The sequence below is a fragment of the Homo sapiens genome, chromosome 8, assembly GCF_000001405.40.
Source record: "Homo sapiens chromosome 8, GRCh38.p14 Primary Assembly".
NCBI classification, from domain to species: Eukaryota; Metazoa; Chordata; class Mammalia; order Primates; family Hominidae; genus Homo; species Homo sapiens.
In genome coordinates this window covers 112,928,277-112,956,019 of record NC_000008.11, presented here as the reverse complement: position 1 = coordinate 112,956,019, position 27,743 = coordinate 112,928,277, and the positions used below count along the sequence as shown (strand labels likewise).

General features: G+C 31.8%; 1 protein-coding gene across 9 annotated transcripts in view; it reads left to right on the top strand.

Moving 5' to 3' along the window:
• The window catches only part of CSMD3 (CUB and Sushi multiple domains 3), a 1,214,012-nt gene that overhangs the window by 480,920 nt on the left and 705,349 nt on the right, over positions 1-27,743 (top strand). For 5 of the 9 annotated variants that reach the window (NM_052900.3, XM_011516816.3, XM_017013009.3 and 2 more), the window contains 2 exons: positions 1,259-1,336; positions 8,143-8,230. In NM_052900.3, the coding sequence (NP_443132.3) occupies positions 1,259-1,336; positions 8,143-8,230 (166 nt within the window). The remainder of the gene's footprint in view (positions 1-1,258; positions 1,337-8,142; positions 8,231-27,743) is intronic. The other 4 variants (NM_001363185.1, XM_017013010.2, XM_047421314.1 and 1 more) reach the window with 1 other exon arrangement.

The window sequence follows — 27,743 nt, the reverse complement described above, 5'->3', positions numbered from 1 at the left end:
TAAACCATCAGGCCCTTTCTCTACTATCCTACTTTTGAAGTTATTAACAAGAAAAAAATTACCTTAAAATGTTTCATAAACCAATAAATATCCATAATTTGAACTAATTGCTTAGAATGACGTTCAGAAATAGTGAAGTGGTAATTTTAAGCCATCTAACAAAAAATCATTTTTGCTTTTTTTTAAATTTATAGCATGAAGAAAACCTAATTGCATAACATTTAAGGCTGTCATCCTTCACTATAAACCTGATAAAAAGTAATATGTAAAGATTTCCACACTGTAACTGAGCAAGTTATTTCCTGTATATACCATGTTTTGTAAAAGAAAATAATTGAAGTAGGGAAGGGTGATGAGGAGTGATTGGTCAATGGGGACAAAATTACATACAGTAAGATAGAAGGATAAGAAGACATAAGTTCTAGCATTTGATAGCACAATAGGGCAACTATATTTAACAGTATCTTATATTTCAAAATAGCTAGAAGATTTGGAATATTTTCAACACAAAGACATAATAGATATTTGCAGTGATGAATGTGCCAATTACTCAGATTTGATCATTACACATTGTATGCTTATATCAAAATATCCTATGTACGCCATAAATATGTACAACTACTATATCTAAAAATTGTAGTAAGATATTTTAGATGGGCTCAAAATAGCTGTAGTTCACTTTCATACATTTTGTGCAATATGGACTAACAGCAATTGTAGTGTCAAAAGCAATGATAATGAATGGAAATGATTGACAGAGCTATTAAAATAAATTTTAAACTTTTCTAATTAAGTCATTTTCTTAAATGTGTTCTAACATTTCAAATAGACTAAATTTTTAGGAAATTTATTTTAAAGAACAAACCTATTAAATCCTTCCCACTATTCTAATACTCCAGCATTTTTACTTTGCTAGTTTAATTTATTCCGTAAAAGTTGATGATTTCAAGTGGTTTATCATAAACTGCTAAGATTTCACTTTTATATAAAAATCTGGACAGTTTAAAAAAGCACAGCTTAAAAAACTATGTATATGCAGGATTTTCCCTGTAGAATATTTAAAATCATTCTACACTGCTTAGTATTTTACTACTAAGTGATTATATTGCTTTAAAAAAAATTCTTCTGGGTACTATATCAGGCTTAAGAAAGTGGTTTCTTTATCTTGCATAAGTCCATGCTAACAAAATTTGTTAACTTGAATTTCATTTTAAAATTGTATTTCCTGATACATGTTTTTGTTTGTTTTCTTAACTAGTGAAAAAGGCCATAGATTTTAAATCTAGAGGATTTAAATTGTTTCCAGGGAAAGACAACAGCAACAAGTTTTCTATCTGTGAGTGTACTTCTTTTTTGTTACTTTCTCTAGTGCAAGAGTGAAGTTTGTGGTGTCTGTGTTGTTTGTATGTGTTTTACCAAAATATTTGTGTATTTACCAAATTAACTGCATTAATATCTGTGTAACATGCATGATGATTATTCAATATTTTATATTTTAATGTATATTGATTTAATGGATTAACGTGGCAAACTCCCAGCCTCAGATTATTTTTGATAAAGTTTATTTTATATTTCAAGATGTAAAAATATTCTTTTGATCTTAAGTCTTGAGGACACTCAAGTTTAGTTCTAGAAGGTGAGGCGAAAATGAGTAACATTTCTAAAATTGGTGGTTTCTTGTAGGAATTCTTGATTGACTATATCTTAATTTCAACATAAGTGCTTTTCTAAGAAATATTACTTTTAAGATAGCAATTTTCATTTCAGAAAAAACAAGTCTTAATTTGAGGTAATTTAGATAAACCTATGAAATCAAATATTTTATAAAATGATTGATTAATTATTGCTATTCACTTCTTGAAAATCTTTAAAAATGGCCTGAAGTACACAATTTCACTTACAAAATCAGGGCTCTGAAGTTCATCCCAAAATCTCAGATTAAGAATCACTGAATTAGAGCATTCATTTAAATTACCATAACCAAACACGAAATTTTTTTAGTAGAGCTATGTATTTTTGTAGTCAAAATTAGGAAATTGTCAACAATACTGTTGCATATTAGAAACTTTGAAGCAAGCCATTTATGACACAATACTTGACTTCCAAAATAACATTGCTAATATATAAGTAGTTATTTCAAATTTCATACATGTTGTTACTTTTATTCTTCAACAAGAGTATATTTTTTAACTTTATTTTTCTTCAGTTCCAAATGACCTCATGAAATAAGTTTATAATTATTTCTTTAACAAAAATCATTTATTATAGCTATATCAAAAAGGACTTTATCTATATGTTTATTGACTTGTACATATAAACAGTAATTGACAAAAATTGAGCAGTTATATCAATTATCGAGAAACAAACTTGGAGTCTTATATCAAATATTAATGGTGTCATAATTTTCAAATGTGATTTTTACATTTTATTAGTTAGACTTGAGAATATTAATCCAAAACCAGAAGAGATATCACTAGGAAACCATTGATCTGGTAGGGTTACCTGTTTCAAAAGCACTAAACAGCTAATTTCAAAGGGTTTGGTTGTATAATTAATATTTCTTCATGTATTTTGGGGGCTAAAATCATTTTCAAGATTGATACTGTTAGTTTTTAAGGAAAATAAGCAATGCTACAATATGACTTTTATAGAAATTATTCAACACATTTTTGAGAGAAAGATGTATTTTCTATGATAAAAAAAGACAAATTTAAAAAATCACCAGGTGAGATGACTCTTACATATCAAATTTCTTCAGGTCATCATGAAATAAAACTTAAATGTTAGCAAAATTAAATGTTATGTTTACTACATTTTTTTCTAATATTTTGTGTAGCCAATATATTTATTTCTGAATTCTAAGTAGAATTACAGCGTATTAGAATGGCTTACCCTCTTCTCAATTTGTCTACACGTATGTTATTTGACATGTTGCATGGTTCAAACTTCCAAATGTTCAGGGAAATTCAGGCTATTTGTACTAAGAGATCTAGGATTTATCAAGGCATTGTAAGATGTATGTAACTCTATATCCCTGTTGGTATATTGCCTTAGTGGAAATATATATTATTTCCACTTTTCTTGTACATGGGTTGTGAAGGTGAACAAAAAGGGAATTTAGACATGGGTGTATATCTAGGAAAAAAAATTCTAATAAAAATATCTTGTTTAAGAAATATTTGCTTTAAAATAGGCAAAAAGCTAATATGAGGCAAAAATGTTAATTTGCTCCATAATTTTAAAATAAATTTTGCATTTATTCATTGTATTTTCTATAAAAATCTTTTTAAATACTCTTGGTTTTTCATTTTTTTGAAGATAAGTAATTCTCACTTCAGTCAAAATATTTTTTGCAAATTTCCTGTCATAAAATAGCAAGCCAACATTATTTTAAATTTCATTTTACTATAATTTGTTTCTAAAGTATTTAATAACTCATTTCAAAAACATATTCTTTCATGGTTGTTTGCAGTAGAGTTATATTGTTTTAATTTGTATCATTATTATATATCTATTTCAAATACACATTCAGATATTGATCTCTTTAATATTATTTATTCAACCTAGGACAAAATAATTAAAAAGAAAGTTTTTATCTGACATTCGTCTTTCAAATAAGAAAAAATAATAAAGCTCATGTTCTTTGAAAAAAAGATCAATTCTATGATGGGCACGGCCCAAAGTCAGTATAAGCATGGAGGACATCAAATTCCCAAACTGCCAAAGTATGTGTGTATTTAAAGGTCTCATAATGGCACCTTTAGATTTTAAGTAAGAAATGAATTAACAAGAGATTAAAGAAGCTCCAGTAGTGTTCATGGGCAGAGTTTGGCTGTTAAAAGGCTCATTCAGATTTTTTTTTTTTCAGCTTTTATACCTGAACTCTGAATTGCCCCTATCTACCCCGTGTTCTTTTTCAAAAATTGATTTCACCAAGAAAAGAAACTATAGATTTAAAAAAAATTAAGTAAACAGGTTTTATATTTTTAAAATGTTAAAATTAATGAACTAGTAGTCTTTCCAAATTCTTTAGTAGGCTCCTCTAGAATATTTTTGTGGAATTATGAGGAAACTGTGAGCCTGCCATAAATGATTGTGTTTTCTTTCTTTTTCTTCAAATCCATACTTTTATTCATTCATATTATCCACTCAATTCTTTAGTAGGCTCCTCTAGAATATTATTGTGGAATTATGAGGAAACTGTGAGCCTGCCATAAATGATTGTGTTTTCTTTCTTATTCTTCAAATCCATACTTTTATTCATTCATATTATCCACTTATTCCACAGTTCCTCCATGGCAGCACTATGCTAGACTAAGAAGGTAAAAGAGTGAATAAAATATATTTTCAACCCTTAAGGATTCAATATTTTATAGGGAAGCTAAATTAGTTAAGAGATAACTCTTTGTAGAATGTGAAGGGTTTTAGTATAAAAAACAACAATACAATGTTGATATCAGTGTTGTTTGAGTTCAGAAAAAGATCCAAAGCACTTGATATTATAAGTTGAAATAAAAATTTAAATTAATTTTTAAAAATCTGAGAAAAGTGACAATGTAAGCAGCTGGAAGAGGTAATGTGGAGGTGAATTTTAGTCAGAGTCCACTTATTTTTATCTTTAGGGTATATTATGTGCTATATAAAATCAGAAGCCATAAGAAATCATACTTACACTATTCATGTAATTAAACTTTTAGAGAGCACTCATATTCTTAAAATGCTGCAAGTTGCTATGCAAATTAAAAGAAGTAAAAGTGATAAATCTGTCCAATTGCATCAATGGCACTGTGAAATGAAAGCAGATGACTGAATGAATACTAACTTCATTTAATTGTCTTGGCATCACTTAGCTATGGGCAATTCTGAAATACATAAATATCAAAAGAAATGAAAGATAGATTGCACTTTTTTTCTTAATTTAAAAAATTTTAAATATTTACAGTTAACATTAAATACACGTACCACACAGAAGCTCTCTCATTATCCTTACATTTTAAATTGGAAAGTTTTTCCTCTTGCAGATGTCCAGAAATGGTGGTTTAAATGACACTTTCAAGCAGACAGAAATAACTTGACAATCAAAATAATAAGAACTGGGATTAATTAGGTGAAAGTGGTGAAATTATACACATGCTCTGCATTTTAAGGTAAAATGCTTGGAAAAGTGTTTTGAATTGTAGTTAATGACATAGTTTCTGCCTTGCCGAGCTTTCTGAACAGCTATAGAGCTCCGGGTTAATAGTAGAATTTCTCAAATCAGACTGCCTGAGTTTAAATATAGATTCCCATTAACTAGCAGTATGACTTTGGACACATTTCTTAACCTCTCCATGACTCAGTTTTCTCACCTGTAGGAGGTGTAAAATAATAGTAGCTACTCCTAAGATGGTTGTGAGAACTAAATGGGGTAATACACATAAAGTATGTAGAATAGTTCTGGACCTATAGTATTATGTAAGTGTTAACTATCATTTAAATTTATATAAAATATTTAACAAAATTTTAGTTTAACACAAAATGACAGTGAAATGTAAAAAATGGGATTTTTCTTATTTCTATTTTCTAATAATGTATTCACAAACTGCTTGTCCATTACCCTATAATCTGTGTTATATGTCATAATACAAAAAAGTAGTTAGGCTTAAGTCATGCCACCTCTTTTCCTCATTTTCATGCCACATTTTAAAAAGTCACATTTTAATAAACATATACTACAATATTTCCAAAAGCCTTGTAAAGATTGGAAAGAGGATATTTTTTCACAGAAAATGTTCAGTTCTTTGATAACAAATATAAGGTGGTATTGTCAATCAAACAACTAGGACATATTTGTTGAAAATATATTAAATAGGTATATTAAAATAATGTTTTTTCTCTATTTTTATCAAGTATATAATCTTTTTCTATAGATAACTAAAGGTATGTGAAACTATTAATTTATACTGTATTAAGATAATTTTAAATTAAATAAAAAATTGTCCAAATGAAATACTCCAAGCTATTTAAAAAGATAAATTAGAATAACATGGAAAAAATGAGTGATTATCTTTTGGAAGAAGTGGGACTTGAGCTAAGTCTTGAATATTAGATAGGATTTTGATAGCTAAAGGGGAAGGAAAGGAAAACATGGAGACATGGAGAAAACACAAATGTGTGGAGTCAGTATGTTCAGCAAATTGCAGAACAGCGAACAGACAACGGGACTTGGGTGATGGATGCATGTTGGTGACTAGTGAGAAATAAAATTGATACAGTAGAAAATCTAGAATAATTGGAGATTTGAGCAGTAATAAGAACTGTGTTTTAGAAAGTTTAGTCCTCCTCTGGTATTCAAGATGTATTGTAGGTGGATGAAAATGGAATCATAAAAGCATCAAAGTGATTAGGTTGAATTTAAGTAGATAGATTAGATGACAATGGAAAGTTTGGTAGATAATCAAATAGGCCATTGAAAGATTGAGAAAGGAACTTCAAAAGAATTAGAAGTCATTAGCATATAGGTCATTCTGTCAAGGCATGAGGGAAATTCAAATATAGAGAGTTGTGAGCCAATGCCTTTCAATTTGTCCGCTGTAGTAGAATCGGCAAAAGTAAGAGTGGCCAAAAAACCTAGAAAGGTAAAGAGAGATTGTATAGCAAGTTAGAGAATAAGAAAAACATAAATATCCTATGATTTGAATTAGTGAGCTGTAATACAGTTGGCAAGAAGGATATGGTTGGTAATACTAAGAAAATTATTTTTTTAGAATGCTGTAAAAACATGCAAAATCCGATGTTTAATTTAGAAAACGACAACTTTACCACAACTATAACTGTTGGGCAGTCGTCTGATAGCTATCTTCTTATCTGATGAATCAATTTGAATTAAATTACTATATTCAGCAGTCCAGTGGTTCTCAATTTTGACTTTATATTAGAATTACCTTGAGAGTCATTATTATTTTTAAAATGGCTCACACCTACAACCGCAACACTTTGGCACCTTGGATGGCCAAGGCAAGAGGATGGCTTGAGTCCAGGATTCCAAAGCTACAGTGAACTATGATTGTGCTGCTGCACACCAGCATGGATGGCAAAGCAAGACCCTGTCTCTTTAAAATAAAAACCAAAAACTCCCAAAAAACTGATGCCAGAGTCCTACCATAGATTTATTGCATTAGAATATCTAGAGGTAGAAGTAGTCATCTTTATTCTTTCAAGAAAGATCTACCTGTGTTTTCAGTTCACAGTGGAGGACAACAAGCATTGGATGGTTTAGATTTTTTTTCTCTCTGGAATCTCTACTTAGGCACTATTTTTTCTAAAAAAAAAGCAGGTAAATTGATAAAAAGTAAAATAATAGAATTTATCCTCCAGTTCACTTTAAGATTGAATTTATTAAACAATATCACTCAGATATTTCAGTACTATCTGACTGAATAATAAAAATCTAACTTGGGGATTTAGATATCCAATGTGGTCACATTCACTGAAAAAATTAATACATCTTTGACTTTCTGCTTTGAAGAAACTGCTGAAAATGTGCACAAAAGCTAAATAAATCATATTCATGGAAGTTGCTTGAGGGTAAAGCCATTGTTTTGGTTTACACCATTATGTAATAATTTAAAGGCATGCCTAGTAATTTGCACCACTGCTGTATTTTAATGCTGGCAGATCAAATTGCTTTATCATATACCAGATAAGAAGTGTTAGAACTTTGAACTTTTTTCATAAAGTCGTATTTTTTATTACACCTTCAAAAATAATAAGGATCCAAATAAAACTATCATAACTGGTGGTTGACTTCTTTGTTGCCAGTGATTAATGGAAACTCTGGACACTGATACCCTGAGAATGTGTTTCCAGAGATTTTCCAATTTGATGGAAACTAAAAACAAAAGTGATAAATATTAATGTGTTAATAGGCAAGACTAATACAAGTCATTGAATATGAACAGCAAATTTATTTTCTCATTAGTTCATAAAATGCTTTTGCTTTCTTTATTGTTTTATAAAATTATAGTTTAACAAATGCTTAAATGACAGTGATTATAGTGACAAAATACAATAATACATTTTATGTATATTTTAAAATTAATATCATCGATTTTCTAATCACATATATTTTGTTTCTTTTTTCTTTTTTCCCTGCTGTTGCAGTAAATGAGGGAGGTATTAAAACAGCTTCCAATTTATGCCCAGATCCAGGAGAACCAGAAAATGGGAAGAGAATCGGATCAGATTTTAGGTAATATTTTAAAATATTGACTTCATTATTTATCTTGTCAAGGTTTATTTTAATTTAAATCTTTAAAGTAGCTAATAATATAAAGATGAAGTCTTAGTGGCATCAAACTGCATTTTATCAATGTATTGTTATTAATAATATCTAATTATTTTAAAGGGATTAGTTAAGTAATGCATTAACTTTATTAGAACACTTTTTTTTTAGTTTAAATGATTAATTTCTCATCATATAGTAAGTGAAAAATCATGGGATTTAGATTTTAAAGACATAACTTTGAGTTCCAGTTTTGCTACTTATTAGTTGTCTGATCTTGGGTAAGTTGCTCTATCCTGTTTGCCTGAGTTTCTTCTTCTGCAACATGTAAATCACATTTACCACATATAATGGTGAGTTTCAAATGAGGCAATTCCTGTAAAACCTTCCAGCAAATGTTCTATAAACATCTTATTTGTATTGTGTAATTATAACTTCAGTAGAAGTTTTATATCCATCACAAATTAGTATTAATTTTATCAATTTAAAATTAAGTTAAACAACCTAGAGAATTTACATAGTATACTGTGGCAGCCATTAATTTACATAACTATCAAATAATGCTTTTTAATAAACTTGAATTTTTCTTAGTCCTCTAGAATCTATTACAAACAAAAGATTACAAAAAGCCTATCAAAATATTAGATAATAATCTCACGAAAACTCACAAATACCTATTTTTACAGTGTCCATGGTAAATTTTATTTTTCAATTATTTATGCTAATGTTTATAGTTACAGATACCACATATTTTTTATTTTTACTTATTCATTTTATTTATATAAAGCACAAGTGATTCTCTAAAGAATATCTCTATGAAGAAAAAAATAGTTCTTAGAATATAGACCTATAATAAATTTCCCCCATGGATCTTTCAGAATGACTTAAAGTTACATTTTGCTATACTTGGAGTGAAAAACAATAATACAATTTCCACACAAACACAATTGTAATTTTCTAAAATGTTTACATAACTTTAACCACGCTCGAAACTTAATACAGATAATAATATTTGAAGGAACACACTAAAGAGAAATTCAAAAGATTTGGGGACTAGTCAGACTTTGACATGTTATACTGATTTTATTAAAATCAACTAAATCTTTCAGCCTTAATGACTAATGGTTATATCTTACAGACCACAAAGTGATAAGCAATTAAATAATTATTTTTTCCAAGTATTTTTTATTTCTTATACAATCTTATAAGCACTTACTATTTTATCCCTACATTTTAAATGAGAAAACTGAAGTTTATTTACCTGGCTAATAATTTGATGGAACTGGGATTTGAACTCTTGACTTGCAGACTCCAAAACCTGACGTTTTAATCACTATATTATAATATATTGCACTTTAAAGTCAAACAAATTTCATTCAGATTATATCCCTGAAATAAATTATCTTGTCTTCTGCAAGAGTTAGTTTCCTCAGTTCTAAAATTGAGAATAATAATGTATATCTTATTCGGTTGAGGAGAAGATCACATGAGATAACTTATGCCTCGTAGTAACCATACAGCTTTTGACAAATTAAGTACTCTATTAATACAAACTGCTATTACAAAGTAACATGTACAATATTACTGATGACATTAATATTTACTTGGTCCAATGATTTGCAAATTAGATTAATGATTTATTGGAAATCAACCTAAAAATAATATAATGTGATAGTAATATAATGAGCAAAATTACCTTCAAGTGCAGTAGATTTCAAGCCATTCAGTTGTAATCACAAATGTAGAAAATTACTCAGAAGTCAAAAAGAAAATAATAAGATTCTATGACAGAGAATAAACATGTCTCAAGGTGGGTACCTACATAATTTAAGAAGGTCCTACTCCCGTGGATATTGGAAGAAGTATATGTGTCCCACCGGCAGGGAAGGAATAGCCTGAAAAGAAAGTGCTTGATTACCTGTTCCAGAAAATAGAGTTCAGTGAAACTCAATTATAGAGCGTAAATAGGAGAAAATAATAGAATGAAGTAGAGGAAATAAGGAGAAACCAAATATTTGCATCAGAGAAAGTAAGCAGGCAGCCATTCAGCCTAATATGGACTGAAGATATGTTTTGTTTTAAATACATTGTTTTTTTTAATGGAGACAACATTTAAAACTCAGAATATTATACACACACACACACACACACACACACACACACACACATATTTCTGTATTCTCTTATTATATTTGGCAACTTAAACCTACACACTTTTAGGGTAACATCTGCTCAGAACCAGTTAACAATTTGTCTCTCTAGGCTGGGCAGGATCTCCCTGGCTCACCATGTGTACCCATAGGCTACTTTACTCATTTAGCTCACCTGCCTATGATGGGAAGTTGTAAAGATTTGTAAGTGACCTGATCCAATTTATATATTCAGTAGATCATGCTTTCTATTTTAGCTCAGTGATTGAAGAAAACTTAAATTTTAGTTAGGTTTCTTCAGTAGTCTGAGTGAAAGACAGTGGAGATTTGGACTATGGTGTTGGCAGGGAACGAGACAGATTCAAGATATCTTTTGAAGATAAAAGCCTTAATATCCCATGAAAATTTGATGTGGAGAGTAAGAAAAAGGAAAGAATTAAGGATGAGGCTCAATTTTCAAGGCTTGAACAACATGAGGATGGAGTGAATTATAATGTTTAATAAAGTGTGAACATCCAGAGATTTCTGGAGAATAATTGAGAGTTCAGTTTTGAAGTTGTACATTTTAGAAGATTTAGAGATTTCTAGGCAGATATGTTAAGTGATTAGTTGAACATAATTGAAATTCAGAGATATCAGGGAACCATAGGCATATATACATATTATAAAAATGTTAAACATCATTTTCTTTAAAAAATTATGTGTAGATAACATCATTTAAAATAAGTAGAAAGACAAGAGAACTTGTGATGTCATCTCAAATATCTATTTGACGAACTGATAGAATACAAGGAGCTGCCAAATCCTGCTCATGAGAGACCAGAGGACTATGACAATACCTAAAAGGGTAACTGAAGCAAAAGAAGTCCTTTAAAGGGCAAGCAGGGACTGTTGAAAAATTGAGCACGGAGGACAGAAGACTGTGTTTTGAATTTGACAACATGAAGGTTGTTGACAAGAGTGATTTCAGTGGAATGACAGAGGTTGAAAACCAACTTAAATATGCTGAAGAGTGAATAAAGACAGTTCAGATAGTTTACAGCTTGGTGACTTCAAGTTATATAAACTACTGAAATAATGAGGCATTTTTGTAGTCATTAGGAAATCAAGAGAGAGTTTCTTTTTAGAGATTCAAGAGACCAAAGCATGTTTATTGGTTGGTACAAATAATTCTATAGAGAGAAATCTATTGGTGGCATTGGAAAGAGAGGGTAGAGGTAAAGAAACATAATTTTGTAGGAGAAAATAAATGGGATCCCAAGGACAGGTAGTGGGGAATTATTTTCAATCTAATAGAAAGGAAGACAGAGAAGTGGAGAAGAGATGCTGCTAGGCCTACATATTTTGTGATTGGAAGATGAGAAAGCTCATGTTTAATACTTTTACGTTAGTAACGCCGCATCTAGGAAGGCCATCAAATGAAAATGTGTGTATAAGGAGATGAGGATGGATGGGAGAGAAAGTTTAAGACTGAGAGAAAAATGAAAAATAGTTTTTTACCAAGAGTGGGAGAGCAAGCTTGATGTAGAAATGTTGCCTTGCTAAGTAAATTTGAGTGCCCTTTTGAGATTGATGATAATGAATCTGCTTGGTTTTATAATTTCTACCTAGCATTACTGAGCTTCCTAGCTACAAACATAAAAAGGATTGTGCAAAAGTATGATAAACTCAGTGCATTTGGGAACTTGCTAGTAATTCTTTCAGGCATACAGATTAGAAACATGGATTGGGAGCAAAGAAATCTTCAAGTAGCGATATAAATTGGGGGACTTTTAAAAGGAGAGTGGATCAGTTTCAGGTCAAGGTCAGTTTCAGAAGCAGAAGTTGAAGTATTTGTAGACTCATCTGTTTCAAAGGGGGAAAAAGAACTTTGTATGTATTTCAAAAATGTAATACAAAAATTATTCTCATATAAGATATGGAAATCACCCAGAAGAATAAAAAATGGAAAGGTTGTAAAGGAATAAAAATCACCGACAAAAGATAAATCAAATTGTTATGAAGTAATGTACTTTTAGTCAGGACTTAAATTAAAAGTTATATCTTTTCTTGGGCCCTTTTTATCTCAAAGGAACATTAGATTGTGATTACTCAGTGAATTACTGCCTCCAACTATGAAAGTCACACTGGTTTTTGGATAGAATTACCAGTCTCTGCCCCTGAAAATTCAAAAGAACTCGTGGCATGTTCTCCTGGTGCCCCATCCAAGTGAAAGTTCAGTTATTTCATAAAACACCAAAAAGTATAATCGATAAAAAAATTGATGTCATACTTCATTAAAATTAAAATATCTGCTCTATAAAAAGCACTGTGAAGACAAAGAAAGAACATTCCACAGATTGGAAAAAAATTTGCAAATTACATATCTAATAAAAATACATTCTGTATATTAAATATGGAAAAATTGCTTAAAATTTAACAATAAGAAAACAACTCAATTACACAATAGGCAAAACATCAAAACAGAATTGTCACCAAAGAAGATATATGAGACAGCAAATAGACATATAAATAAAGCTCATTATCATATGTAATTAGGGAACTTCAAATTAATATAACTACCAGATACGATTACATAGCTATTAAAATAGCTAAAGTCTAAAGCTCTGACAACACAAAATGCTGCCGAGAAAGTAAAACAACAGGAATGCTCATGTACTGCTGGTGGGAATGCAAAATAATAAAGCCACTTTGGAAGACATTCTGACAGTTTTTTAATTTAATTTATTATTTTTAAACTTTTAGTTTCAGGGCTATACATACAGGTTGTTACATAGGTAAATTGTATGTCACAGGGATTTAAAAGGTGTACAGATTATTTTTTGTCACCCAGGTAATATGCATAATGCCCAATAAGTAGTTTTCTGATCCTCACCCTCCTCTCACCCTCCAACCTCAAGTAGGCCCCAGTGACTGTTTTTCCCTTCTTTGTGTCCACGTGTACTCAATGTTTAGTTCTTACTTGTAAGTGAGAACACTTGGTATTTGGTTTTCTATTCCTGTGTTAGTTTGCTTAGGACCATCGCCTCCAGCTTCATACATATTGCTGCAAAGGACATGAACTCATTTTTTTATGGCTGCATAGTATTTCGCAGTATATATGTACCATATTTTCTTTATCCAGTCTATCACTAATGATCATTTTGGTTGATTCCATGTCTTTGCTATTGTGAGTAGTTCTGCAGTGAACATACCTGTGCATGTGCCTTTATGGTAGAACAATTTATTTTCCTTTGGGTATATACGCAATAATGGTATTACTGGGTTGAATGGTAGTTCTAAGTTCTTTGAGAAATTGCAAAACTGCTTTTCACAGTGGCTGAACTAATTTACACTCATGCCAGCCGTTGACAGTTTTTTTTTTTTTTTTTAAACTAAACATGGGTTTACCAACAATTACACTCCTAGGTAAAATTTCAACTATAAGACATTCTGGAAAAGACAAAACTACAGAGACAGTAAAAAAAAACACTGGTTGTCAGGAGTTCAGGGGGATGAAGTGAGGGATGAAGAGAGGGTGCACAGGGGACATATAAGGGCAGTGAATCTATTCTGTCGGATATTGTAATAGTGAATAATGACACTATGTGTTTGTCAAAACCCATAGAACACAAAGAGTGAACCCTAATGTAATTATGAACTTTAATTAATAAAATATTTTAATGTTGATTCATTCATTGCAAAAAAATTTACCATGCTAATAAAAAATATTAATAATGGGAGAAACTGTATTATGATGGGGAGAGAGGGGTAGTGTTTGGGAACCCTCTGTACTCTCTGTGATTATTTTATAAACCTGAAAATTCTCTAGAAAATAAATTCTATTAAAATTAAAAATAAAGACATACACGTGATTTCATATTATATTTGAACTAAGTGATATATATCCACATATACACATGTTATTTTAATGATAATATGTTACTAAAATCTTTCTCTAGCATGTTTGTTACAACCTCAGATATTTACTGTTTCATGATTTTCCTAACATTGCAGTAATCTCTTTGAATGAAAACTTTAGGGATAAAAGAGATATTTCAATTATGAAGAGATGTAGAAGAGATAAGAATAGTTCTCTGATCTGCATTTCCATGGATATTATCTTAGTTAATCGTTTATTTACACATTTTTAGAAAATTGTGATGTCAGTTTTACAAGCTGCCGATTTTTCTCCTTCTCGTCCACAGTTTCCATCCATAACATCTACAATAATGTGTTTTTCTAACTTCAACACCAGCAGAGCTTTCCTGTCGCCTACTTATACAAAAAGTACTCAGTGTTGGCATTCAAAATGCTTCAAAATATTCCCAATCTTCCATTCATATTTTGTGTGGTAACAAATTGTCCCACATAGTTGGCTTCAAATATATCTGATTTTCTGGGACTACTTAGTTCTGTTGTTTCTTCCTCCTAGAATGTTATATCTTAGCGTTTTTGCCTGTGTTATCTTACATATTCTTCAAGTGCTCACTCAAAATCCTCTTTTATAAAGCTTTTCTTACTTTTCCAATCAGTTACTCTCTGGTTCTTAACTTCTTAGCTCATGTTTTCCTTCATTATAGTACCCAATTTTTTTTTCTTGTCTCTTAGAAACTTTTCTAAGTGCAAGATCCTTGTAATCAGATATGAGTATTCATGTTTCTGTATGTGTGACAAAGAGAGCTCAATAAATGTAATTAATTGAATTGATTAAAACAGCAAAACTGCAGTTTAGCATTTTCCATTAATTTTCTAATCACATGACTGTAGCAGGACCTCAAATTCATCGTATTAGTAAATGGCTTATAGATACCAGTTGATGAAACAGAAACAGTCTTGTTTGCACGTAATCAATATTTTTATAATCACTGAGGAAATCTATGAGAAAATCCTTGGAGAAGTAAGGTATCTTACTTGTTATATTTTGGTTACCATTTGTGCTCTACTCTCCTAGGTGATAGTCCCAGCAGGTGTGTTTTGAAATCTTAAAAGCTTTGTTTCTAATTTGAAATACCTATAGAATATAACAAGTTTTTAAAGGGAGAAATGCTGCCAAAGAGATATAAAGTTGGCAGCATTTTCTATGCTGAAAAATAAATTAAAAAGTTAAATGCCCTTAAAATTATAACCAACTTTTTGGGAAAGCTCAGCTTGTGGGATCCTTATATTCATAGACTTTCTTTCTGTGGGAAAGGCCTTAATTGATGCCTTTTCTGACTGAATAGGAAGATATAAAGGAAAAGGAGAATTTTGAAGATTTTAAAAGAGATATTGAAATCTCTTATGTCACACTAGATGTGAACATAAATTTGGGCTTCTCTTGAGAGCAAATAACAATTTGGACTCCAAATTTTGGATTTGTATCTGGATTATTAAAATGCTGGTATATCTCAGCAGTGAAACAGCAGGGAACATGCTACTCATTTGGTACTATTAAAACACTACTGTATAATGTATATTCAGGAAAAGTTTATTATCATAATGTAAATCAACCATACTTTTGAATATAAAGTCATTTTCACTCATTCTTCTTACATGAACTTTCTAAATATGCTAGTATATTAGTTATAAATCTTATTTTGGTAATTACAAAGAGACCGTTAGTATATAGAAGCTTCCAAAGGTGTTCTGTCTCTCCCCACTTCACAAGTAAACTTTCCTAAAGAATGGCCTACATCTGTGGCAGTTCTTTCCTTACCATACTGCTATAAGTATTTGTAATTATTATAAGCTCTCTTGAATGTAATGGCTGAGAAATAGCTTGGTTTCCTTGAGTGTAGCCATTGACTACCCATTTTTCACTCTTTTATTGAATCTACTTTACCTTCTCACTTCCTAAAAATAAAAATTTTTCACAGTTACACTTCAAAACTCACTTTTTCTTCAAGAATCTGATCTCCTTTCAAGGGTTTGTAATCATGACTTTCCATGTTTCCCTCAGGTCTTTATCATTTTTATTCTTCTGAGAGTTGAATATTTATTTTCAACTTTTTATAACAATTGAATTAGTATTTTTTACAAAACAAGTATGTCATTGCATCTGTAAAAGCGTGGGATTTGGAATCAGATGAACTTACTTTTAAGTTCTATTGCTCTTTTTACTTGACTTGGGGAAGTTATTTATTCTACACAAAGTTGTCTTTCCTTTTAAATAAAAATGGAAAGGGTGGCACCAAACTGAAATGCCACAGTGAAGGACTAGATTATCTCAGACTCATGAACTTGCCTAGTGAAGTACCCAGAACAAAGAGGGGCTAATAAATGCTTGGTTACCTGTCTTTGCCTTGTCTTTGCTATTTTCCTGTCGTTTTCCCAATGAATGAAGATTTAAAAGTCTTCATTGTTTTCCAACATCCATTCCAACACTGATGCCACTTCTATCTCATTCATTAGTAATCTTCAGTTCCCTCTCTTTTACTTTACTCACTTAAAACTTCCCAACTGCACAAAAGCAATTATCTTCTATTTATTCTGTTACAAGAAGTATTACACTTGGCTTTCAGGAAAGGATTCCTCACTTTTAAATATTGCAATAATACTCCTTGATCAAAAACTTGTTTTTTCCCATACCTATTGAATTAAGAGGTGATATAATATCAGTTATCACGTACATACATATATCATATTTTAACTCAAAAGCACTTTCACACCATTATTTTTTAAATGTATTAACACACTGTAGGTTTCAATATTTCTATTTTACTAATGAGTAAACTCACATACCAGAAGTTCCTATACTTAGCAGTAATAAAGACAGGCCTTGTACCCAGGGAGTATGGCTTGCAATTTGATCCTTTTTCCCCCTTGCTTATATATTTGCATTCTAGCATTTAAATTCTTCCTCAATGTAGTGGAAACCTAACTTTCTGGCATTATCTTTCCACTTTTGTCATATTTCATTACAGAATGCCACACTTGCCTCTTACCGAAAAATATTTCACTTCAGTCGTGTGGTGTGTATTTTAAAAAATCAATGTAAAAGTAAAAACTACCATTTCCTCTAACTTACTAGTTGCTTAATACAAATTGTCCTTCCAAATGCCTCCACCCTTAATCAGCTGTGTAATATTGCACATGCTACTCTTGCTTCCTAAAATAAGATTCTGCCAATCTTTACCTATAAGAAACCTATCCTTCAAATGAATTTCCTTCATCTGCCTTGGTTTCTTATAACTTTTATCAATGCTCTCTTGGCTCTGTTAAAGTCAAAATAAAAATGTAGAGACAAATCTCTAAATGTAACATTTTATTTGAGAAGAAAGAATCACAATTCGAGGTATACAGTCAGACCAGGTGGTCTTTGGTATGTTGGAAGAATAAAGAGAAAGTTGCAGGTTTCATTAAAGGAGAAATGTTACATATTGTTCTTTGAGAAAGTTCATGGGCATTAATAAAGTTCTGGGGAGCTGGCAAGCTCCCATTGGTGAGTGATGGTGGTTGGCAAAATTCATCCTTATGTTGCAGCAACTTATTTCAGCACTTATAGATAAAACTGGTCTCAGATTACAACAGGCAGTTCCAGCAGCCTGACTTGCAGAGAATTACATTTCTAGAGCAATGTTATATATTCTGAGTGCTTTTCCCCCCTGGCTTCTCGACTGTTTTAGTTGGGTATGGCAAGAATGAACCAATTCATACGATCAACTTTCACAACTCATTTGACTTGAATAAAATTTACTTGTGTGCTTCTTTTATCTTTCTGCTCAGTATTTATTCTATTTTTGAATGCTGATGCTATCTTTTTTTAATCATCAATCTCCAAAAAATGTTTAGATGCTTAAGAATCACTTGCTGCATTGAATTTGAGTAAACTTGCACTGTCATCTTCTTCTTGTGTTATACAGACAATACAGAAACAGTAACAGTAAGATAAGTAGTAATTGCATTGGTCTTTGCAATTACTATTTATCCTACTGTTCTCTGTATGAAGAGGTGTTTCTGGCCTCTTTGGGATGGCACCTTAAAAGACATATTACCTGCCGGGGGCAGTAACTCATGCCTGTAATCCTAGTACTGTGGGAGGCTGAGGCTGGCGGATCACCTGAGGTCAGGAGTTCAAGACCAGTCTGGCCAACATGGCGAATCCCTGTCTCTACTAAAAATACAAAAGTTAGCCAGGAGTGGTGGTGGGCACCTGTAATCCCAACCACTTGGGAGGCTGAGGCAGGATAATCGCTTGAGCCCAGGAGGCAGAGGTTGCAGTGAGCCAAGATCGTGCCACTGCACTCCAAATTAGGCGACAGAGAGAGACTCTGTCTCAAAAAAAAAAAAAAAACATTATTACCTAGGTCCAAAAACAAAGAGTAATAAAAGCATAACTGTTCTTTTGATTCTTGTGACTCAAAACTGTCAGTACATTATTACCATATAAAAACTAGCTCTTACAAAAAAAATATATTTCAAGTTGTATAAATATATAGAAGAAAGAATAGGACTAGATTTTTGAAATCTCCTCCAGCTATGTTATCCAAACTGATAGGACATTTAAAATATATGGCTTATAAAAATACTCAAGTTGGGTAGGCAAACTTAAAAGAAGATAACATGAATAACAAAGCCTAATACCCTGTGCACACCTTATCACATTTTCTACACTCTATAGATTGTCTACTTTACCTTCATGGTCTCCTCATTGCTGGAGGGAGAAAACAAGCTGTAATTGCAATGTTAATGTAAAAAATAATAAAAATAAAAAGACAATTGAGGCTACAGGTAGTTTAAATTATGGTAATATTTTATTGAAGTAAAGTTTAAATGTACATATTTAGAAATATATTGACGTATTTAGGAAATAATTTTGATCAATACAAATATTTATAGATAAGCCAATTATTTCTGGCTGGGTAGTGTGAGTATATTTTGGGAATAATTTTGATGAATTAAAGTATTTCTAGATAAACTGAGTATTTCTGCCTGAGTAGTGTTAGAATATTTTGGGTATACCAAGAGTAATTTCAGTTCTATAAAAGTGAGATCATTGAATACATTTTATGCCACACATTTTTAATTACAAGGGTGTTTTTGAAAAAAAGTTATAGGAAAAAGGAATACTAAGGCTTCCTTCTAGTGTCACGATTAAAGATAAAGAAAACCTATATGCAAATTCAAAAAGTCAAATTAGTCAGACCCTTCCTTGCAAAATTTGAATTATTAGTCTGTTTAATATTCTTAAGTTTCCATAGGAGTGACCTTCAGCTTTATTATGTATATGTAAATTTTGTGAAAGAAAATATCCTTATTATGTTGTAAATGCTGTGACTTGGACAAAGTGAAGAAGCAATATGATTTTAATTATTTAATATAATGACATGGATCATAGGTACAGAAGTAAAATGGGAATAAGAGAAGGAAATTAGGGAATGAGACACAAGGAGAAGAGATGTCCAAGTAATGAGAATATTTTGAGGGTAAGCAAGATAGAAAAAATAAGACAGAGGCAAGAGACTTGGGGTAGAAGAAAGAAGGGAAATATAAAGTCACTGTTAAACTAAATGTGGAAATAGCAGAAGCGAGGAAGTCTGTGACAACAGACTATATTAGCATTTTTTTCATAAAAGTCTTTGTAAAACTAGTAACTACTCTTAGTTGCACCTCTCCATATTGAATCCATCAAGAAGTTCTACCCATACTTGAGATTTTATTCCAAGGCATATTCTAAAAATATCCAATATTCTCCATTTCAACTGAAACCTTCCTAATGCAAGCCACTATCATCTCTCACTTAGACCATTCAAACATCCTAAACCATCTCTCTTCTACTGCTGTTGTCATCTGTAATACATTCACCACAAAACAGAGCAATATTTTAAAAACTATATCAAATCACGTCACTTTTCTGCTTAAAATTCTTCAGTGACTTCCCCCTTGCAGTTAGAATAAATTGATACTTAAAAAAAATCCCCATACAACCTGTTTTTTTTTTCATAATTGAGCTCATTTTGGATCATTCTTCTTATTTCCCACTCTAATCCAGTCATTATAGCATCTTTTCTGTTTTTGAAACATATCTAAATTTAACAAAAAAGGTGAGAGATTTCTACACTGAAAACTATAAAATATTGATGAAAGAAACTAAATAAGTTACAAATAAATAGAAAGATATCCCATGCTCATGAAAAAAGTGTCTATACTAACCATAGCAATCTACAGATTCAGTGCATTCTCAAACAAAATACCAATGACATTCTCTACAGAAATACAAAAATAAAATAAAATAAAAACCTTAAAATTCACATGAAAGCACAATAGATTTCAAATAGCCAAAGCAATTTTTAGCAAAAGAACAAATCTGGAACTATCATACAGTCTGACTTCAGAATATACTACAAAACTATAGTATCCAAAACAGCATAGTATTGGCATTAAAACAAGGAGAGACCAATGGAACAGAATAGAGAAGCCAGCAAAAACTCATGCATTTAAAGCCGATTGATTTTCATCAAATGTGCCAAGAACACGCCGTAAGAAAAGGACACTTTCTTCAATAAATGGTGTCAGAAAAATTGGATATTCATGTGTGGAAGAATGAAACTAGACCCTTATCTCACATCAAAAATCAACTCAAAATAAATTTAGGTATTTAACATAAGGCCCAAAGCTATGTAACTACTATAAACAACCTAGAAAATAAGCTTCCTGACATTGGTCTGGGCAATGATTTTTTGATATGACCCCAAAAGCACAGGCAAAAAAACAAAATCAGAAAAAGGGTTACACAAGATAAAAACTTTTGCACAGAAAAGGAAACAATAATGAAGGGACAGCCTACAGAATGGAAGAAAACATTTGCACACTATACATCTAGATTCACAGAGTGACGTGCAAAGTTTTAGCACAAGAAGTTCCCAAATATTTTTGCATCACAGTGTCCCGAGTGTCTTAGTAATTTTTTTTTCCAGGCTCCCAGGCCCAAAGAAATACCTAACACTTCTGTTTAGTAGCTGTGGCTAAGCAACTTATGAATTTATGTTCTAAAAACTTAGCATTGTGCACTGCACAATTTCTCAAACCTTGGACTCAGATTTTATGTTACCACCCTCATTTTATGCTCCACAGCAAAATGGTATGATATTTGCTTTTCATCAGAGCAGCCACTGAAAATCCAGCATCATCAATGTCATTGAAAGGAATATATTAATAGTTGTATAATATTGAAACTGAATTACTTCAAGCTAGTAGTTTGCACAATTCATGATGGATATCTGTGTTTCCTTCAAAAATTTAAAGTATACTGTAGCAACCTATGTGTTCTATTCAGCAACCCAAAAAGCTCAACATACTTTGGGAACTGTAATTTTAGCCAGTAAGGAATAGAGGGCAAAATATGCCATAAAAAAATAGATGCTGGTACTGTTATTTTGAATTTTATTAAGACTTGTTGCAGGAACTAGCTACTTCTCCAACCACTGTCAGAGTCCAGGAAAACAACATGATATTTGTAATTACAATGTGTAACATCCACAAAGCTTTCCAGGCTCTGCATCATGACTGCATTTAAACTAGTATGCCTTATCCTAGTGTGTTCTTCCTTCCACTCATGTACTCAGCCAATACCCACTGTGTACCCACTGCAGACATTGGGCTAAACCCTAGATAAAAGGACGAATATGATGTAATTTTTCCCTTCAAGAGTTTACAGTCTTAGCTCATATCCCAGTGACTCATAAAAGGTTGTTGCTGATCTTCCCAGACCTTTAGTGTACTTCTGTATGCCTGTCTGCAACCTGTGGGGCCTGCTCTCCTCAACTAGATGCTAGTGGTATTTTTTAGATTCCCCTTAGAAATAGAAAGTTTGTAAACTTTCTATTCCCACGGCAAAACTGTCTTTACCCCCTCACTAGCTCAGGCTTTTGGAACTTGCTAAGTCTAACCTACTGGGTTCTAATTTGACCATAAAAAAAATGTCGAATTATTTTTAATGTAAAATAATGAGAGTTCTTGTCATTCTAATTTTAACTCCTCAAATATAAATAGTAACTTTAAGGTAGCAGTTTACACATTCACTGTGACTTATTCAGAAATCGTTATATAGAACCCTTCTCTGATCTATGATTCAGAGTATCAGAGTGTGATGCACTCCATTGCTATTTCCACTGTTTAATGCATTATGGGCTCCAGCTGGCCTAGGACTTGGTGGAGAGATGGTGAAGAGATGGTGGAAAGACAGCAAATATAAGACCATGTCTTTTCTAACAATCATGGTAAGGTATATTGTAATACTTTGCAGAACTGATATTACAATTCGGTGTAAAATTTGTAACATTTTAAACCAGCTCATATTACAAACTGGTAAAAAATTTGAACTATTCTATTTCATACCATTATAGAACGCTTGGGGCTTAATTTTCTTTTAGAGTTAAGAGAATCTATAGCCCAATTCTGAATAATAGAGATATTTTTATCATTATACACCACTTGATAACATCTTATACAGCTATCTATTTGTATTTTAGCACCATATCTATTCTTAGAGACTTCTTGAATTTTATAGCTGGAAAAAAAAATCTCAGAGGTCATCTTGCAGTTACTCCCAACTCCCCAATCCACGATTTGATTTTATAAAACTGATACTAAATTTGCCTAACATTTAGTAGAGCACTATTTCTTATTTTTGTTTTTGTTTTTACCAGAAATACTTTTATATATTTTATTGATGTGTAATATTTGTACATGTTTATGGGGAACACATGATATTTTGATACATGCATAGAATGTGTAATGATCAAATCAGGGTATTTTGGATAGCCATCACCTTGAACATTTACCATTTCTTTCTCTTAGAAACATTTAAAATCTTCTTTTATAGCTATTTTGAAATGCAAATATACAATATCTTGTTAACTATAGTCACCCTACTGTGCTATCAAATACTGAAATTATTCCTTCTATCTAACTGTAGGTATCCATTAACCAACCTCTCTTTGTACCCCCTCCCACGCACACACACACTGCACACCCTTCCCAGCCTCTGGTAACTATTTTTCTTTTTTCTTTTTTTTTTCTCGCTCTGTCTCCCAGGCTGGAGTGCAGTGGCACAATCTCGCCTCACTGCGAGCTCCGCCTTCTGGGTTCATGCCATTCTTCTGCCTCAGCCTCCCAAGTAGCCTGCAATCCCAGCACTTTGGGAGGCCAAGGCAGGCGGATCATGAGGTCAGGAGACTGAGACCACCCTGGCTAACATGGTGAAACCCCATCTCTACTAAAAATACTATCTTTCTACTTTCTATGTCTATGAGATGAACATTTTTAGCTTGCACATATGCATAAAAATTTGTGATATTTTGTCTTTCTGCGCCTGGTTTATTTTACTTAATAATGTGATCTGAAGTTCCGTCCATGTTGCTGCATATGATAGGATTTCATTCATTTTGTGATTGAATAGTATTCCATTGTGTATACACACTACATTTGTCCATTCATCTGCTGATAGACACTTAGATTGATTTCATATCTCAGCTATTGTGAATAGTGTTGCAATAAACATGGGAATGCAGATATCCCAAAGGACTGATTTCCTTTCCTTTGGATGAATACCCAGTGGTGGGATTGCTGGTTCTTATGGTAGTTCTACTTTTAGTTTTTTGAGAACTCTTCATACTGCCCCCCATAATGACTGTACTAATTTACATCTCCACCAACAGTGTGTAAGAGTTACCTTTCCTCCGCATCCTCACCAGCATTTGTTACTTTAGGTCTTTATGGTAATAGCCCTTCTAACTGTGGTAAGATGATATCTGATTGTGGTTTTGATTTGCATTTCTCTGATGATTAGTGATGTTGAACATTTTTCATATACGTGTTTGCCATTTGTATGTCTTCCTTTAAGAAATGTCAGTTCAGACCCTTTGTCCACTTTTATGGGATTATTTATATTATTGCTATTGAGTTGTTTGATTTCCTTTTAAATTCAGAATATTACTCCCTTGTCAGAGGAGTAATTTGTAAATATTTTCTTCTATTCAACAGGTTGTCTTTTTACTTTGTTGATTTTTCCTTTGCTGTGTGAAAGCTTTCTGGTTTACTGTAGTCCCATTTGTCTATTTTTCTTTTTGTTTCCTGTGATTTTGAAGTTTTAACCATACAATCTTTTCCTAGACAAGTTCCCTAGAACATTTTCCCTAAGTTTTTTTTTTTTTAGTAGTTTTATAGTTTCGGATTTTACATTTAAGTCTTTAATCCATTTTGAGTTGATTTTTTATATGGTGAGAAATAAAGGTCTAGTTTCATTCCTCTGTAATGGATATCCAGTTTTCCCAGCACCATTTATTGAAGAGAGTGTTGGAAAGGCATTTCTAATGCAAGAAGAGACATTAATTCCAAAGTTGTTTAAATCAGGATAGTTTAATCTTTATGATTAGAGGAAGTGCTTTATAGCATAGTCATTATGTTAAATGAAAATGATTTAAAAACAAAGTACCCCACCTTCTAAGTTCACATTTTATTCATGAAAGAGGCATAGCAACATAAAAAAAATGATGAAGTATTTAAGGTATGTTTGCTTTGGCAGATTTATTTTAATAAAAAGCTAATTGATTCATGGAATATGACAGCTGTAACTCATCTAAAGGTAACCTAATTTATTCTACTCAAAATTTTTCTCAGTGGACTATAATACTGATAAATTGAATGTGGAAAAGTTGATTTTATATTATAGGCTTAATATGGCAATAGCAACTTAATATTCTAAATTTACATTACTGACATATGCAATAATTTATTATTCCTTGTCAGCACCTCCATATAGGATTCAAGGGGTAAATATTAAACATAGGTAGTCAGTGTTTAATCTAACTGGTCCTTCCAGTGTATAAAAGATTGAACAGTTCACAGACAATGAGGTAGTTGCTATGCACATCGGTCTTTGCACTTTAAATATCATTCACAAAGTGCCTTGTGGGTTACTCTTGCAAATTTCTATGACATTAACTGGTAAAAACGTCAAGAGTAGATCAAATGGGATTTTATAGAGGAAAGTACTTTGTAAACTAGAATGCTCTATTCAAATATAAATTTTTAATATTCTTTTAATAATTTATATTAGGATTAAAAATAAACTTGATCATTTTGGATAATTTATAACATTGTGCATCACAAAGCTCAGTTCATCTATGCCTCTATAGTGTTTCCCTACTCTGAGGTGGATTTGACTTTAACTATTTAAACCTCTACTTCAACTGGTTTATTTCTCTCTGACAGCTGTTCTTAAATATAGAGCCACAGTCTTCTGGGGCTTTTTAAAATACAATTAATGTGTTGCCACTATTAAGAGATCAAAGTTTAATATAATATAAGCCTGGAAAAATTAGATACAAATAGGTTTATCTTCATTACATTATTTAGTTTATTGCTGTCTGATAGTAGTATAGGGATGAGAACACAGGGAGTGATATAGCAATGGGAACAGTTAAAGTTAATGTCACAAGAATGAGATGTTAACCTTGCCTTATGGCTTAAAGAGGCGTATTGTATGAATATGCCTACATGTGAACTTCAAAATAGCATGTTGTGGAAATCATTAGGAAGCTTACCAACCTAAACAATATAGCATTAAATTATTTCATTTATTAGCTCTCACACTAATTTTATTTTACTTTTTTATTTGAAGGGATTGTATAACCAAGTTCTACTTTATAATCTTAACCACTTTCTTTCCTATGATCATACCAACAAAAATGATCCCAAACATAGATCTTCATTTAATACTATTTGAAAGCTTTATTATATTCAAATGATTTTAACTCATGTCTTAAAAACATTTCTGTCACAGAAAAAAAATTATTTAAGCTTTTAATTAGATTATATTTTGCCACTTAAGTGTATGTATATTGTAATTTTTCTGAACATTTTCATGTTACTTTCTAACGCATTCTACTAGTAACCTTCAAAAGCACTTTATTTTATTGCCTTTTATCTATCAAAGTATATCATTATCCTACTATGTGCCTTTTCTTACTTTATAACACAGTTATGGATCTGTACCATACTTCACTTGTTATATAAAAATATTGTGCTTATGTAGAATTGAAGATCTATTAAAAATTGTTTAATTAAGACACAAAATCTGACCTATTGAGTGTTATATATAAGAGATAAAGCAAAGCAGAATAAAAACATCATATAGTGACAAGTATTTATCTCTTAGTCTCCATAAAAAGAATTATCAAAATAAAAATAAAATCTTCAGCTCTCACATTTTTAATAGTTGTACTAAATTTAAAATCTTGAAATCTTTTTTTTTTAATTTTTTTTTTATTATGCTTTAAGTTTTAGGGTACATGTGCACATTGTGCAGGTTAGTTACATACGCATACATGTGCCATGCTGGTGTGCTGCACCCACTAACTCGTCATCTAGCATTAGGTATATCTCCCAATGCTATCCCTCCCCCCTCCCCCCACCCCATGGGAGAAAATTTTCGCAACCTACTCATCTGACAAAGGGCTAATATCCAGAATCTACAATGAACTCAAACAAATTTACAAGAAAAAACAAACAACCCCATCAAAAAGTGGGCGAAGGACATGAACAGACACTTCTCAAAAGAAGACATTTATGCAGCCAAAAAACACATGAGAAAATGCTCACCATCACTGGCCATCAGAGAAATGCAAATCAAAACCACAATGAGATACCATCTCACACCAGTTAGAATGGCAATCATTAAAAAGTCAGGAAACAACAGGTGCTGGAGAGGATGTGGAGAAATAGGAACACTTTTACACTGTTGGTGGGACTGTAAACTAGTTCAACCATTGTGGAAGTCAGTGTGGCGATTCCTCAGGGATCTAGAACTAGAAATACCATTTGACCCAGCCATGCCATTAGTGGGTATATACCCAAAGGACTATAAATCATGCTGCTATAAAGACACATGCACATGTATGTTTATTGCGGCATTATTCACAATAGCAAAGACTTGGAACCAACCCAAATGTCCAACAATGATAGACTGGATTAAGAAAATGTGGCACATATACACCATGGAATACTATGCAGCCATAAAAAATGATGAGTTCATGTCCTTTGTAGGGACATGGATGAAATTGGAAATCATCATTCTCAGTAAACTATCGCAAGAACAAAAAACCAAACACCACATATTCTCACTCATAGGTGGGAATTGAACAGTGAGATCACATGGACACAGGAAGGGGAACATCACAATCTTGAAATCTTATTGGGTATTATAGCAAGGATTTTTGAGGATTCTGAGGAGTTCACCACAGTTAATTTTGGAGGTTAACGAAAAGGACTCTATGATAATAATCAGTATGCTTTCTCTTGAAGGTTTGAAATTATAACTTTTTCTGTGACATTTGCTTTTAGCTTGGTTAGCTATTTAACTAGCTGTT